A 15,958-nucleotide genomic window follows, 5' to 3' on the forward strand; every position below is an offset into this window, starting at 1 on the left:
GGCCAGGCTGGTCTTGAACTTCTGATCTCAAGTGATCCACCTGCCTCGGCCTCCCAAAGTGCTGGGATTACAGGCGTGAGCCACTGCATTGGGGCCAAATCCATTCTTAATGACGTCTTCCGTGTTCGGTTGGCTTTTGTCTTTTTTCTTTCCTTTATTTAAAAAGCCTTTGGCCGTCAAGCCCCGGGAATTGGTGGCATTCCCCAATCAGCTCACAGCGCATTTGCATGAGCGGTCCCTGCATGTCCCCTCTTTTCTTGTGCTAAAGGTGATTATCCCCAGGGCCAAATCCTATTCTTTTTTTTTTTTTTTTAACCCATAGACCATCATTTTGATATGTTTACCTTTTTGTTTGAACATGTTCTTGCAAAGTGTGTTCTTCTGTGTATACGTACTTTTACGTATGGCAATGACATGCCCTGTGGTCCCTGCCAGTGACTTGGCTTCCTGATGCTCCATAGGTACATCTTCCATAAAGACCGCGCCCTGAGCTCACCATTCCTCTTTCTGAGAGAGCTGAGGCAGTTCTTCCTTCAGGGGAGCAACCATTGTTCTAGGCTCAAAGCAAGTCTGAGAGAGACGCACACGTGTGGGATTCTAGGACCTTGACCCTCCACCGCAAACAGAGGCACTCACCTCTGCATTCTGGGAAACGGCAGTCTGTGTGTCAGCCAGATAAACACTTAAGTTCAGGGGCATCTGACAAACAGCTGTCCCCACCGACCTTGTTTTGTTGGTCCCATTTTCACAACTGTTGATGTGGCTTCCTGAGTTCCTGACCACTTGAATAAACAACCAAGAGCAGCAGCCTCGACTCCCTGCAGGACCCTGCGCAGGCCGCGCTGGGCAGCTGTCCATCAGCACCCCTGTGCACACAGAGAGCAGGCAGCAGACCAGCGCCCTGGACGGCTGGTACCGACGCCCTCCATCTGTCCGTCTGTCCCCAGGGCTGGGTGGACAGGGAAATCTCTTTACAGTGCAGACAGCGGAGCCTGGTGTTGAGACCAACTGACCTGATCTTGAAAGGACTGCATTCTCCTGCCACTGTCTGGCAGATTCCAGCTTGGGGCCTGTTTTCTGGAGCTAGCTGTCACATGAACCCCAGCCTGCTGGCTGGGAGATCCAGCCAGGTCAGTTTTATGGCCAAGAGAGCAACCAGTTACTATCTCGAGCTGGAGAAAATGGATTATCTTTAGTCCTTCTGTGCAAAACTAAAACCAAAATGTTTCTGTTTTTGGTTTGGGAGTGATGCATCTGGGCAGAGGGGTGAGGTGTTAGACTCAGTCCATGCCCCTCATTTTGCAAGGCTGAAACTGAGGCCAAAGGGACTTGCTCAGGGTCACAGAGTTGCAGAAAAGCCCCCAGTCAAACTCAGCGGTCCTGAACCCCAGGCTGTCCTTTCAATTCCCCAGCCTTTGTTCCAGGTTTCATCCCCCACAGGGCTGCTTGTCCTCATCAGTGCACAGTAATCTGAGGCTCTGCAGGAGGGGGCCGCCTTCTCTTTCATGCTGTGCTGTTGAGCGTAGACCGCAAAACGTGGAATACCTTGCCCAGGGTTTCTGTCCAGCTTTGCTGTGTATTTCAATCTTTTGAGCTTCAGTTTCCAACTCTGGGGAGAAGGGCTAACAAGAGTTATGATATATGCATCAGGAGCTTTAAAACAGTCATAGCCTTTAACCCAGCGATTGGACTTCTGGGAAATTATCCTGTAAAAGTGAATGAAAAAGCTTTATGCTCACAATGTTCATTGTGCACATAAGAAAAATGAATCTCCAAAACAGTTTCAAACTCACAAACAGAGCATGATCCCAGCTGAGTTAAAAAAAAAAAAAAAAAAGGGAAGGAGGCCAGGCGCGGTGGCTCACGCCTGTCATCCCAGTACTTAGGGAGGCTGAGGTGGGTGAGGTCAGGAGTTTGAGACCAGCCTGGCCAACACGGTGAAACCTCGTCTCTACTAAAAATACAAAAATTAGCCGGGCGTAGGGGCGGATGCCTGTGATCGCAGCTACTCAGGAGGCTGAGGCAGGAGAATTGCTTGAACGGGGAGGCGGAGGTTGCAGTGAGCTGAGATTGCGCCATTGCACTCCAGCCTGGGCTATAAGAGCAAGACTCTGTCTCAAATTAAAAAGAAAAAAAAGAAAAAAGAAGGAAGTAAATAAACAATACCCAGGGTTGCTCAGGTGATGGGTTTATAAATAATAGTTTCTTTATTCTTTTACTGTTTCAAAATGTTTTACCGTGTATCTACCATCATGCCTCACTTAACAATGGGAATATGTTCTGAGAAATGCATGGTTAGGCAGTTTTATTGTTGTGTGAACATTGTAGAGTGTACGCAAACTTAGATGGCGTAGCCTATTACACGCCTAGGCTCTATGGTGTAGCTTATGGCTCTTAGTGTACAAACCTGTACAGCATGTTACTGTACTGAATGTGGTAGGCAACTGTAGCACAATGGTAAGCATTTGTGTCTCTAAATATAGAAAAGGTACAGTAAAAATACAGTGTAAAAGAAAATAAAATGTATACCTTGGCAAGGTATAGATTTTAAAATGTGTACATAGTAAGTGCCCTGAACCTATATACCTGTACAGCGCATTTACCATGAATGGAGCTTGCAGGATGGGAAGTTGCTCTGGGCAAGTCAGTGAGTGAGTGAGTGCGGAGTGGATGAGAAGGCCTGGGAGTTGCTGTACATGACTGTAGACTTTATAAACACAAGACACTTTGGGTACACTACATTTACTCAGAAATTTTATTTCTTCAAAATAAATTAACCTTAGCTTACTGTAACTTTTTTACTTCATACATTTTTAACTTTTTAAACTTTTTGACTCTTTTGTATTATAATAACACTGAGCTTAAAACACAAATGTATTGCACAACTGTATACAAATATTTTCTTTCTTTTTTTTTTTTTAGACAGAGTCTCACTCTGTCACCCAGGCTGGAGTGCAGTGGCACAGTCTTGGCTCACTGCAACCTCCCACTCCTGGGTTCAGGTGATTCTCCTGCCTCAGCCTCCCCAGTAGCTGAGACTACAGGTGCATGCCACCACGCCCAGCTAATTTTTTTTGTATTTTTTTTTTTAGTAGAGACCGGGTTTCACCATGTTGTCCAGGCTGGTCTTGAACTCCTGACCTCATGATCCACTCACCTTGGCCTCCCAAAGTTCTGGGACTACAGGCATGAGCCACTCACCCGGCCCATATTTCCTTTCTTTATATCCTTACTCTATAAACTTTTTCTATTTATTTTTATTTTATAAATTTTTTGTTATAAAGACGCAGACACACACATTAGCCTAGGCCTGCACTAGGTCAGAATTATGAATATGGCTACCTTCTACCTCCACGCCTCATCCTACCGGAAGCTCTTCAGGGGCAGTAGTGTGAATGGAGCTCGTGTCTCCTATGATAATAGTGTCTTCCTCTGGAATACCTGCTGAAGGACTACCTGAGGCTGTTTCACAGTTAACTTAAAAAAAATACAAAAAGTATACTCTAAAATAATGATAAAAGGTGTAGCGTAAAAATACTAGACGATAGGAAGTTTTTGGCTCCATTATAATTTTATGGGACCACTGTTGTTGATGGAGTCTGTCAATGACCAAGATGTTACCATGTGGCACATGACTGCATATAAAGAAGGAAACATTTAAAATTCTAGCCTGTTTTACAGTGTTCTAAGCCAGTTTTTTCAACATTGACTATCAGATTAATTCTCACCGCAGCCCCGGAGTTAGGTATGGACTTGAACTCCATACCTCATTTACAAATGAGGAGGCTGAGGCCAGGGAAGTGAAGAGACTGTTTCTACCTGGGAGTGGAGGGGCCAGCAAGGGACCAGGCTTCTGGCTGTGGTGACAGGGCTCCTGCCATCAACATGCCTGCCCCTTAAAGCACAATGCCAAGACTAACCAAGGATGGGGCAGGGCGAATTGTTAGGCAGCCTGAGACCTGTATGTGAGGGGGACAGACAGCAGAGGGGGTGCCTGGGGTTCCTGACCCCCTTCCTCTGGCTAAAGCAGAGAAAGGGCTAGACACAGGCAATATCCACAGAGAGACTACATGGTGCCTGAACTTGAGCCTGTGACTTATTTTTTTTTTTTTTGAGACGGAGTTTTGCTCTTGTCGCCCAGGCTGGAGTGCAATGGTGCGATCTTGGCTCACTGCAACCTCCGCCTCCCGGGTTGAAGCAACTCTCCTGCCTCAGCCTCCCAAGTAGCTGGGATTACAGGCACCTGCCACCACGCTCGGCTAATTTTTGTATTTTCAGTAGAGATGGGGTTTCATCGTGTTGGCTGGCTAGTCTTGAACTCCCTACCTCAGGTGATCTGCCTGCCTCAGCCTCCCAAAGTCCTGAGAGCCATGAACCACAGCGCCCGGCTAGCCTGCAGCTTTTAAAAGCAGGGCTTGGTCCTTGAATTCATAAAGTGGTCACTGAGTTGCATCATCGGGGGGGTGGCGGGTGGCGGGAAGAGGGTCAGCAGTGCCAGGAGCAGGTAGGATACCATTTCCAAATCACGTACCACCGAACAACCATTTTCCGGTCTAGAAAATAATAGCAGCCGGCCCTCATCTGGTGGCCTCTTTCCCTGGGGTTGTGGTGCCCCGAGGGTCAGAGAGCCTATCAAAAGTCCTTGGTGTTTCAGGCCGCCTTTACTCCCCCTTCTCACTCATTCTACTCCTTTTTGGAAGCTCAGAGCTCCCCAAGAGAGGAATGCAGGCCTGGTGGCTCTGGGTTAAGAAGGCTGAGACAGAAGGTCCAAGCTGTCTCCGAAACTCACACAGAGGCTGGCAGGAGAGAAAAGACAGGCCACTTGGGCTCACAAGGTTGAGGGTCCAGGTGTCTGCAAAGGGGAGGGAGCATGCGGCTTGAACACGCGCTTGAGTGGTGCCTCAGCATCTCCCCCTGCCCAGGTAGCACCGTTTTGCAGCATCACCTCCGGTATCTCTGGGTAAGGTCCGCATTGCCTGAGCCCCTTGTCAGAGCACCTCCAACGTATGGGCAGTGGCTATGTCATCAGTGCCCTGAAGGATAAAATGTCACCTTGTGGTGAGCGTGGGAAGACAGCCCTAGCAAGAGGCGGAGAAGGCACAGGCCTTTCCTGCGTTTGGGTGTCTCACAGGGTCCGTCTGGCTGCAGTGTGGATGAAGAGTGAGTGTTGCAGGGAAGAAACCTCCCCCGGATGCCTGGCAGTGCAGGGTAACGGACAGAGCTCTTGAGGGTGAGATGCACCAGGATCCCCTGCATCGTGGGGAGCTTATTTAAAAATGCAGATTATGGGCTGTCCTCTGAGATTCTGGTTGAGTAGTCTGGGGCGGGGCCTAAGCATCAGTGTTTAAACATGTTCTCCGGACGATGCTGATGCATGTGGTCTCTGGACCACACTTGGGGATCCCTTGACTAAAAGGTTAGCCTGACTTGCCCACAGCCAGATAGAACTACACAGGCTCCAGAATATGTCCTTGTACTGACACCATCTCGTCTCTGGTCCGGAAGCCCAATTAAGGCGCCCATATAATCCACCCCAAAGAGGCATCTCCTCATTCTCCCAGATGCTGCTGAGATGTCTTTCTGGGAATTTCTGCATTTTCCCATGGGAAGGAGGATTTTATATATTCTCAATGTTTAGTTTTGGGGGACAAAGTACACATAAGTGCTTCTCACCCTGGGTTACCTGGAACTCTAGTACTCCACGGTGCCATAAGCAAGTCCTTGAACTATTCCAAAAACTCTTTATTTTTTTATTTTTGAGATGAAGTCTCACTCTATCGCCCAGGCTGAAGTGCAGTGGTATGATCTGGGCTCACTGCAACCTCCACCTCCCAGGTTCAAGCGGTTCTCCTGCCTCAGCCTCCTGAGTAGCTGGGACTACAGGCGTGCGCCGCCACACCCAGCTAATTTTTGTATTTTTAGTACAGGCGGGGTTTCATCATGTTAGCCACTGGTCTTGAACTCCTGATCTCAAGTGATCCACCTGCCTTGGCCTCCCAAAGTGTTGGTATTACAGGTGTGAGCTACCACACCTGACCCCCCCAAAAACTCTTAACTATAATAAAACTGTACGGCTAATATTGCTTTTGGTGCAAAACACATCCATTTAGCATGCAGACATTGGGCTGAATCCACTGCAGCGAACATGTATTAAGTCCTCACTGTGGGTTCGGCAGGGCTGGCCTGGAGTTTACATGTTTTCGTGTCACTGATTCATTAGCACATGGGTAAACTAGTTATTAATTAATGCACTCAAGCAGGCAATGTTGTCCGAAAGAAAGATTCCACACAGGGAACAAAATAATGACACTTAAAAGGTTTGACTGGTGGAGAATGAGGTGCTGCTGGGGCCTCCTGCCTCCCACGGGATCCCAGCTTGCAGGGAACCTTGGGGACTCTGGGTCGTGCGGAGTTGGGGGCGTTCCCCAGAGAGCGTTGTCATGGCCTGCAGGGAGCAGTTATCGAAGAATCAGGTCAAGTGGGGGTTTGCTGGCATTACCTGTGTTTCTGTAGTGGTCATTGCCGCGATAGTCCTTGCCATCGCCTTGCGGTGGCCAGGCTGTGAGCTGGAGGCCTGCAGCTCCGAGGCCGACATGCTGGATTACCTGCTGAGCCTGGGCCAGATCAGCTGCCGAGATGCCCTGGAGGTCACCTGGTACCACGCAGCCAACAGCAAGAAAGCCGTGACAGCTGCCCTGAACAGCAACATCACAGTCCTGGAGGCTGACGTCAATGTAGAAGGGCTCGGCACAGCTGACGAGACAGGAGCTCCCATCGTGGCACACCCTCCGGCTATCTACAGTGATGACACACTGGAGCAGTGGCTGGATGGTGTGCTGGGCTCTTCCCAGAAGGGCATCAAACTGGACTTCAAGAACATCAAGGCCGTGGGCCCCTCCCTGGACCTCCTGTGGTAGCTGACAGAGTGGGGCAAAGTCCGGCGGCCCATGTGGATCAACGCTGACATCTTAAAGGGCCCCGACATGCCCATCTCAGCTGAGGTCAGTGCCACACAGTTCCTGGCCCTGGTCCAGGAGAAGTATCCCAAGGCCACCCTGTCTCCAGGCTGGACCACCCTGTACGTGCCCATGTTCCCAAACAGGACGTACACCCGAGCCATGGTGGAGAAGATGCACGAGCTGGTGGGAGTGGTGCTCCAGAGGGTCACCTTCCCTGTGCGGTCTTCCACAGTGCGGGCCGCCCAGGCCCACTCCAGCTGGCTGCTGAGCCAATCTGAGAGGTACAGCCTGACGCTATGGCAGGCTGCCTCGGACCCCATGTTGGCAGAGGATCTGCCCTACGTCCAGGATAACACTGCTGTCCACCACGTCTACTGTGATATCTTTGAGCCTTTCCTGTTGCAGTTCAAGCAGGTGGCCTCTACTTGGCAGGGTGCCATGAGGCTTAGAGAGGATGGCTGTAGAGCTGTGGCCTACAGAAGGTGTTTCATGAATAGCAGCCACCTCACCTTGGCGATTTGGGGCCCCACAGTGAATGCCACATGGAAACAAATGTACTACACGGGAGGCAGCCTGATCCCTCTTCTCCAGCTGTTCGAGGGTGATGGTCTTCTCAATGCTGCCCCAGGGGTACAGCAATGGTAACCCTCCCAGACACAGAAGGCATGATCCTGCTGGACACTGGCCTCAAGGGAACTGTGGCTGAGAACCCCGTGCCCACTGTTTGTGCTCCAAGTGGCAGCATCCTGAGGTTGGAGTCCTGCCTGCAGCAGCTGGCCGCACATCCCAGACACTGGAGCGTCCATTTGCAAATAGTGGAGCCCGCAGCCCTCTGGCCGTCCCTGGCCTTGCTGGCATCCCTGTCCAGCCTTGGCTTCTTGCATCGGCCTGTGTGGATGGGGCCAACATCTCCCACGGGAGCTTTTCAGTCCTCGGCCACATGGCTGGCAGAGAGCTGCTTACAGCTGTGGCTGAGGTCTTCCCCCATGTGACTGTGGCACCAGGCTGGACTCAGGAGGTGCTGGGCAGTGGCTACAGGGAACAGCTGCTCACAGATATGCTAGAGCTGTGCCAGGGGCTCAGCTTCCAGATGCAGGCCAGGCCACGGGGCCACAGCACGCCTGGAGCTGTTGCCAGGCTGCTGGCATCCTCCCCTGGGGCTACTGTCACAGTGGAGCACAGCCCAGCTGGGGGCAACTATGCCTGTGAGAGGACAGCGCTGCTGGGAGCCAGGGCTGTAGACAGAACCCGAATCTACTACACGCTGCCCCAGGGGTACCACAAGGACTTGCTGGCCGATGTTTGCAGAAACTGAGCACCCAGGGGTGGTGGGCCAGCAGACCCCAGGGTGGAGTCTTCCCATGGGGAGGCAGGAAGAAATAAAGACCTTTGCCTTTCTCCAGGCAAAACAAAACAAAAAAGAAAGGTTTGAAACCCTGGTCTGGATATCTAGCTTATTGTGTGTGGTCAATAGAAGATTTTTAATAAATGAAAAATGTTTTACTCACCTTTTCACTGCTTTGCTAGAAAAGACAACTTGGAGTTTCCAAGAGAACAGTCTGTGCCCTGGCTATATTTCAGAAATGTTCATTCTATTCAGTCCAGCTGCAGGGAAAAGGATTGTTGCTGGAAGAAAGGGCCTACTTTACACAGCTGTATCTAGGGAAGGCTGAGGGTTGCTCCCCATGGCCCTCTGGTTCTCCCCCTGACTGTTTTATGGTCAGGCCCATGTGCAGCTGCTGGGATCCCTAATGATGCCTGATATATGGGGAGCTTAAGTGGCTACATTTAAGGCTTAGATATTAGCAGGGGACTCTTGCACTGTCTGAAGACGAGCAGTTGATGTATTCCGTGTGCTGTAGTCTGCCAGCCCATTAGAATTTAATTAGGCACATTCTTTCCTGACAGCCTTATGGTGCTCAGGAGCAAGATGCTTTTGGCTTTGTGGCTGCATTTGGAACTCATTCTTTCTCCTTTTTTTCTGGAAGCTCTCAGCATCTCCTCTGCCTTCAGAGAACCTGTGGTGGTGTGTATCAGAATCACTCCTGGAGATTTTGAGTCAGTTGGTCTGGGACAGCTATCTTCCTTTTAATAATCCTCCACAGGTGACTCTGAATTGCTCTGAGGCCTGAGACATGCTGACCTCTGTAGGTTAATGATCCTCAAGCCAACACCTCCACTCCAGACCTCCCGAGCTTCAGACATACGCAACCTTCTGTCTTTTGGGCAGCTCCACCTGGAATGTCTACGAGGCGCCTCAAGCTCCAAGTAGATGTCCTATAAGTTTTGGAGTCCCTCACCTGCTCTGTATTCAGTTCATTCTATTTATTTATTCTTTCTTCCAAAATATCTCTTCATTCTCTCACCTCCTAAGGAAAATTCTGCCTTTTGTAAACAAGGTCTAGTTGTCACTGGATGGAGAAGCTGTTTCTCTGATTCACCTGATTTCCCTTTTACTTGAGAATTTCTCCCTAACCATTGCTCCCATCTCGTAAATAACTTATAATAACTTCGGTAGGGGCCTGTGATTTCCCCCGCATGCATGCATGCTTCTTCCCTTAGTTTCCTCTAGTACAGCTGAGACAAGGCTGGAAAACCTGACTGGATTTGTCCCACTGGAGACTCAGTGACAGGTGAAGGGAGATCAACACAGGGTGTACTGTGACCCAGGATACCTGGCATTCAGCACCTTTCCCTTTGAAGCCTGAAGGGCCTGCCTCACCTGAACTCCCCCTAGCATCCCTATGGCAAGTACTATCTTGGCACTTGCCAAGTTGAGTGTGTGCCCAGAACAGGTCTTTACCCAGAACAGCTGGAGCAAGGTCCTCTCCCTGCTTCCCCGCTTCATTTCTGCTTCTTGTCAGAGCATCCATCTGGTTCTCAAATGGCTGGTGTTGGATATAACCACTCCCTTCAGAGGAGACCATGCCTATTCCAGGGCCAGGGTTGCATAAGGTTCAGCACTGCAACCAAACCAAAATATGACATAGTGACCCCGATTTTAATGATGAACTCACATTACACCCCCTGGCCATGCCATTGCCGCTGCCTTAGTTCCAGGCTTCAGTAGCTCTTGCCAACCAGTAGCAGAAGGCTCCCCTCCCATCTTTGACCACATCCAGTCTTCCCACAGTAGCTGGACCCACAATCCTAAAACTACAGAATATCACCATTTAGCAGTTCTCAAACTATTTGGTCTTAGGATTCTTTTACGCTATAAAAAATTACTGACGAGGCAGGCGGATCATGAGGTCAGGAGATCGAGACCATCCTGGCTAACACAGTGAAACCCCGTCTCTACTAAAATACAAAAAATTAGCCAGGTGTGGTGGCATGTGCCTGTAGTCCCAGGTGCTCAGGAGGCTGAGGCAGGAGAATCGCTTGAACCTGGGAGGCGGAGGTTGCAGTAAGCTGAGATCACGCCACTGCATTCCAGCCTGGGCGACAGAGCAACACTCCGTCAAAAAAAAAAAAAATACAGAAAACCCCAAAGATATTTTGTTTATGTGACTTATATCTGTCCGTATTTACTATATAAATTAAAACACAGAAATTTAACAAATATTAACTTACTAATTCATTTAAAAATAGCAATAATAAACTCATTACATGTCAACATAAATAACACGTTTTAACTAAAAAGTAATCGTATTTCCTAAAACAAGAAACAAAATTGCTTACAAGAGTGACATCGTTTTATGTCTTTGCAAAACTTTTTAATGCTTGAATCAATAGATTAAGCCAGTGACTCATCACTGTTCCTGCATCCAATCAGTTGTGCCACGTTGTTTTGGCCAAAGAGTGTGAGAAAAATCTGGCCTTATATAGACGTGTAGTTGAAAAGGAGAGGAGTATTTTAATAGTCTTCTTGACAATTATGGGTTTTTTGTGTTTTGTTTTGTTTTGAGATGGAGTCTCACTGTGTTGCCCAGGCTGGAGTGCAGTGGCACGATCTTGGCTCACTGCAACCTCTGCCTCCCGGTCAAGTGATTTCCAGCTAATTTTTGTATTTTTAGTAGAGATGGTGTTTCACCCTGTTGGCCAGGCTGGTCTCAAACTCCTGACCTCAAGTGATCCACTTGCCTCAGTCTCCCAAAGTGCTGTGATTATAGGTGTGAGCCACCTCGTCGGGCTGAGTGGTTCTTTTTTTTTTTTTGGATTCTATACCCAAACTCAAGAAGTGATAGTTTCTTAAAGGTTTATTACAATATGGAATCTGAAACTATATCAATAAACTTCTTGTACTATCTCACATTAAAATCCATCCATTTCTCCTGTACTTTGAACGTGTCTTTTGCTTGCGCGTGGTTGCCTAATATTAGATGTGGATAATTTGAAAAATATTGGTTCCCTGTGTGATATACATTTTCTAAATGTTGACGTTTTTACTATCCAATATTTAGATAGCACAATTCGTTAGTATTACCATTGGAATATCATTGGAAAACTCCTTAAGTATTATTGGGAAGCTGTCAAGCTCACAGTGGTAAACACAAGTTTTCCAAAATTCTGATTCTCACTGGAAAGCTCGGATTTTATTATTGGCAACAAATACCATCAGTTGTTTTCCTGGAAGAAACAGTCTCAGGAGATCCATTTTTGAGAAAACAGCTGCCAAAACCCCAATCTGAATATCCTTAATTTGTCTGCCAGTCGTTTCTCTTAAGTAAAAATGTATCTTCTGAAAAAAAGTGATTAGTTCACTTAACCGAAGCACTCACACAAGTCATTTTTCCTTGAGACAATCATTGTACATCGATGTGTGGCAGAAGTGGTACTTCTAGTGGTACTTACCAGTCCACACAGAATGTTAAAACAAGGTGTTACGCAAGGGTTGACATTTCATAACGTAATAACTTCTACTCTTTGATCATAGAGAAGCTTACGTGTGGCTTTTTAAATAATTTACTTTTTGCCATGAGTGTGTGGTAGTGGAGAATACGACAGCTGTCAGTACAGTGTAGTGTCACTATCTTGATCTGTGCTGAGGGGACAGCAGTTTTACCCCCTGTTGCTTATGCACCATTATTACAAACGTCAGCATAGGGAGAAAAGGCAAATAATGACTTCATCTCATTATGAAAATTTGACCTCATGGAACCTCCACCACAGGGTCCTCTTGGGAATCCCAGGGATCCAGAGTGCACATTTTGAGAACTTTCCATGTTTCCCCACTTCCAATAGGCTAAAAAAAGGCTAGACCGGTGGTGGCATTTCATGAACCCCAATCTTCTTCCTATTCTTCTGCCGGCACTGTCCATAAAAATGTGATATGTAAGGAGGAATAGCTGGGAGCCTGAGTCCTGTCTGTGGGGGAGAGAACTTCAGGTGTTGCCAGCAAGCCCAGCTGTAATTGAAACATCTCAGGGAGGCTGCTGGGGGGCGGGGGTTGACATCAGCCAGGTGGCACTCAGCCCCGGGGCACTCAAGGCTTCAGCAGTTTTGTGGAAAGTCTGGTGTGTGCTTTGCTGGAATCCTGAGGCTGTGGGAGTTGCCAGTTCCAGCAATGACCTCATTACAACTGAGTGATTGAATAAGGCAGGGACCTTTCAAGGAGATCAGCAGGTTAGAATGACTGTCAATTAAAACGCAGAGCAGCATCTGCAGCAGGTGGGAAAGGAGTGTGATTTGGCTTTTGCAGAAGGGGAAATGGCATTTACAGAGGTAAAGTGAATAGGCGACAGTCGTGGAGGGAACTGGCTTCTAAGATCTAGATTCAGAGACTTTTAGGGCTAAAAGAGAACTTAGACGTCAGCCGGACAAATTGAGTTGGAAGGAGTGGGAAGATTGCTCAGGACTCCAGCAGAGCTGCTTCGGCACGTAAGTCAGCCAGACAGCCCAGCCGGTTCCTGTCCCACCTCACCAAGGTGGCACTGTACCCCTCTTTCTCCCATCTCCCAGCGGGACAGCGTCCTATAAAGGAGGCCAACTGCTCCATGTATCTTTGGTCTGGTGACGTTTTCAGAGTGAGGTTGGCCAGAAGACTCCCAAGTCATAGAGAATTAATCAGGCGGGACACAGAGTTTTTAATCCCCATTTTACAGATGCAGAGAATGAGCCCCAGAGAGAATACGTGACTTGCCAAGATCACATTAGTAAGTGGCAGAGGACGAACTTGAACTCAGGTCTTGAGGCTTATAGTTCCACTGACATGCGATGGTGTAGAGAGGAGAGTTCAGGGTCTGAAGACAGAAAAGCAGGATTTTTAGTGCCTTTGATATTTAATAGCTGGGTGACTTTTGGTCAAGCCATTTTATTTCTCTGAATCTCGGTGTCCTCATTTACAAAATGAGCATAATATACATCGTCTATCCTAAGCTCATTCACAGGGTTGTTTTAGAGCGTCAAATTACATGGTTTTTATAAATATGCCTTATATACTGTGAATCTCTTTAACAAGTTTGAGAGGGCTCCCATGCCCAGATAATTAACCATGCCAGCCCTATCAAGTGGGGCCATTCTTTTGCCCACAAGGATGATATAGACCCCTGGACTGGCATTGCCTTCCTTAACTAAGGCCCTAAGAATCCCAGCGTTTGGAAAATGTGAATCAAGAGATCCCAGAGGCTGCAAGCAGGGCCTGGTAATGGATGGGAATGGACACTGTTATTTATACCAGCTCCCTTCACTTTTCAGGAGATCTGGGGGGATGGGGACGGCTCTGGTTGTGATGTTCCCAGTGTGGCTTTGGTGCAAGGCTCCACAGTTCTTTGTCCCCCGGCTTTTGCACCACTCCGAGCTGTGACACTCTGACTGCTGTTCAAGCAGCACTGTTGTGCACTATCCTGCCTGGCAAAGTGGTCAGACGCATGTTTTCAGGGGCCCTCCCTCTAAGGAAGGAAACTGAGGTGCTGGTATTTGAATGTGGTTCTCAGATACTTGCAAAGAGCATTCTAATGGCTGCTTCACTCTCTTTTCTCCAAGGTAGCCTCTTATGGAGAGGCCATCTAGGTACAGCAGTTAGGAGCCTGAGCTCCAAAGCCAGATGGCTTGAGCTGGAATCCTTCCTTCTACTTCTGTCTGTGCCCCCTATTTCTTACCCTTAAAGTGGGGTTGAACACAGCACCTACCTGATAGCATTCTTGTGGCAAATCAATGAATTTGAATGCATATGAAAACAGGACCGGCCAGGTGCAGTGGCTCACGCCTGTAATCCCAGCACTTTGGGAGGCCAAGGCGGGTGGATCACCTGAGGTCAGGAGTTCGAGACCAGCCGGGCCAACATAGTGAACCCTTGTCTCTACTAAAAATACAAAAATTAGCCTGGAGTGGTGGTGTGCACCTGTAATCCCAGCTACTCGGGAGGCTGAGGCACGAACATCACTTGAACCTGGGAGGTGGAGGTTGCGGGGAGCCGAGATCGAGCCACTGCACTGCAGCTAGGGTGACAAAGCGAGACTCCATCTCAAAAAAAAAAAAAAAAGAAGGAAGCCAGACCACACACCATCAGCGTCTTCACAGGCCCCTTGGGATATCATTCATGATAAATATTTTATTTATTTATTTATTTGAGATGGCATCTCACTCTGCCGCCCAGGCTGGAGTGCAGTGGTGCGATCTCGGCTCACTGCAACCTCTGCTTCCTGGGTTCATGTGATTCTGCTGCCTCAGTCTCCCAAGTAGCTGGGATTACAGGTAGGTGCCACCACACCCGGTGAATTTTTTTTGTATTTTTTAGTAGAGATGGGGTTAGGCAGGCTAGTCTAGAACTCTTGACCTCAGGTGATCTGACTGCTTCAGCCTCCCAAAGTGCTGGGATTACAGGCGTGACCCACCAAGCCCGGCCAGGAAGGACCTGTTTCTAAGACCCACTTTAGAGGAGGGGAGACTCCTCTGGGCTGTGGGGGTAGGAGTTGGACCATAAGCCAGGGCATCTTGGCTTCTCAGGAAAGAACATGGGAGAGAGTTAATGTGTTGCCCATGCAGTCTTCCTTGACCCTCTGATTTTTCATCTTTTCCTGAAAGGCGTGGATTTATTTTATTTTATTTTATTTATTTTATTTTATTATTTTATTTTTTGAGACAGAGTCTCGCCCTGTTGCCCAGGCTGGAGTGCAATGGTGCCATCTTGGCTCACTGCAATCTCCACCTCCTGGGTTCAGGCGATTCTCCTGCCTCAGCCTTCTGAGTAGCTGGGATTACAGGTGTGTGCCACCACGCCTGGCTAATTTTTGTATTTTTAGTAGAGTCGGGGTTTCACCATGTTGGCTAGGCTGGTCTCGAACTCCTGACCTCTAGTGAGCCACCAGCCTCGGCCTCCCAAAGTGCTGGGATTACAGGCATGAGCCACCATGCCCAGCCCTGGATTTATATTTTTGACATATGTAGTGAGTTGCTTGAATGAATTATGCTTCGCTTGAGTCTTAATCATGTAGTAAAATTGACTTCCTCTTTGAGGTGATGTCAAAGAGTGTAGGATGAAGACGGGGAGCGTTCCAGTGCTACTCTGTTTGGGAAGGAGAGGAAGAAATGCTATTTTCAAAACTAGAAAGTCTTCTAAGTTGGCATGATCTAAGTGTATGTTCTCATCTTCTCCGTGCCTCTAGGCTTAGAAGCAAACCAAAATAAAGATGTTATCGCCAGTTCTTTGTTGCCCTTTCAAAAATATCACTGGCTGGGTTTGGGATGATATCATGAAGCCTCTTAGATCTTAATTTTGTTTTCTTTTTGCTTAGTTTTTTTTTCATTAAAAAGATGATTAAGGAAACATCCTCTATATGATAGGTCTATATAAGATTCCCTTTCAGTAAGGCTTTTGTACCAATTTAAAACATTTAGTAGAAGCCAATAGCAGTGGATGTATGGGGCTGAAATTGATCTAATGCTGTGCTATTTAATTTGATTATAGGTTAGATCTCATTACTGAAGGTTCAGCTTTGGCCTAGATTTCTTAGAACAGAAAAGATTTTGGACTCCAGACACTGGCCCACTCATATGAAGCAGTGTGCAATTCCGTGTTATTAAAGTGCAGGACCGCAAGAACACGGAGGCGTTTGTTA

The 15,958-nt window shown here is 48.0% G+C and overlaps 2 long non-coding RNA genes and 1 pseudogene across 2 annotated transcripts in view, besides 4 other annotated features; all 3 read left to right on the forward strand.

The window, feature by feature from the left end:
• LOC105374292 (uncharacterized) overlaps window positions 1–15,958 on the forward strand; it is a 120,878-nt gene that overhangs the window by 43,576 nt on the left and 61,344 nt on the right. The window lies entirely within an intron of this gene.
• Window positions 1–15,958, forward strand: part of LINC01968 (long intergenic non-protein coding RNA 1968) — a 73,748-nt gene that overhangs the window by 40,728 nt on the left and 17,062 nt on the right. The gene's annotated exons all lie outside the window — the stretch shown is intronic.
• Window positions 52–346: a silencer, noted in NCBI's record as "tiled region #1010; HepG2 Repressive non-DNase unmatched - State 7:EnhWF, and K562 Repressive non-DNase unmatched - State 21:Repr". NCBI's record gives its function as "represses a minimal TATA promoter and a strong SV40 promoter by Sharpr-MPRA in HepG2 and K562 cells {active_cell/tissue: HepG2 | K562}" and the evidence as "EXISTENCE:reporter gene assay evidence [ECO:0000049][PMID:27701403]".
• Window positions 588–788: a silencer, noted in NCBI's record as "peak4981 fragment used in MPRA reporter construct". NCBI's record gives its function as "represses an SCP1 promoter by STARR-seq MPRAs in K562 erythroleukemia cells {active_cell/tissue: K562}" and the evidence as "EXISTENCE:reporter gene assay evidence [ECO:0000049][PMID:32103011]".
• Window positions 1,031–1,738: an enhancer, noted in NCBI's record as "OCT4-NANOG-H3K27ac-H3K4me1 hESC enhancer chr3:194470908-194471615 (GRCh37/hg19 assembly coordinates)". NCBI's record gives its function as "activates a minimal SCP1, AML or CMV promoter by ChIP-STARR-seq in naive H9 embryonic stem cells {active_cell/tissue: H9 hESC(naive)}" and the evidence as "EXISTENCE:reporter gene assay evidence [ECO:0000049][PMID:30033119]".
• Window positions 1,888–2,076: a silencer, noted in NCBI's record as "fragment chr3:194471765-194471953 (GRCh37/hg19 assembly coordinates)". NCBI's record gives its function as "represses an EF-1alpha promoter that drives an FKBP-Casp9 reporter gene in an ReSE screen in phorbol 12-myristate 13-acetate-treated (for megakaryocytic differentiation) K562 erythroleukemia cells {active_cell/tissue: K562(+PMA)}" and the evidence as "EXISTENCE:reporter gene assay evidence [ECO:0000049][PMID:32094911]".
• FAM151AP1 (FAM151A pseudogene 1) lies at window positions 6,326–8,361 on the forward strand (annotated as a pseudogene).

Source organism: Homo sapiens, chromosome 3 (assembly GCF_000001405.40).
Source record: "Homo sapiens chromosome 3, GRCh38.p14 Primary Assembly".
Classification (NCBI taxonomy): domain Eukaryota; kingdom Metazoa; phylum Chordata; class Mammalia; order Primates; family Hominidae; genus Homo; species Homo sapiens.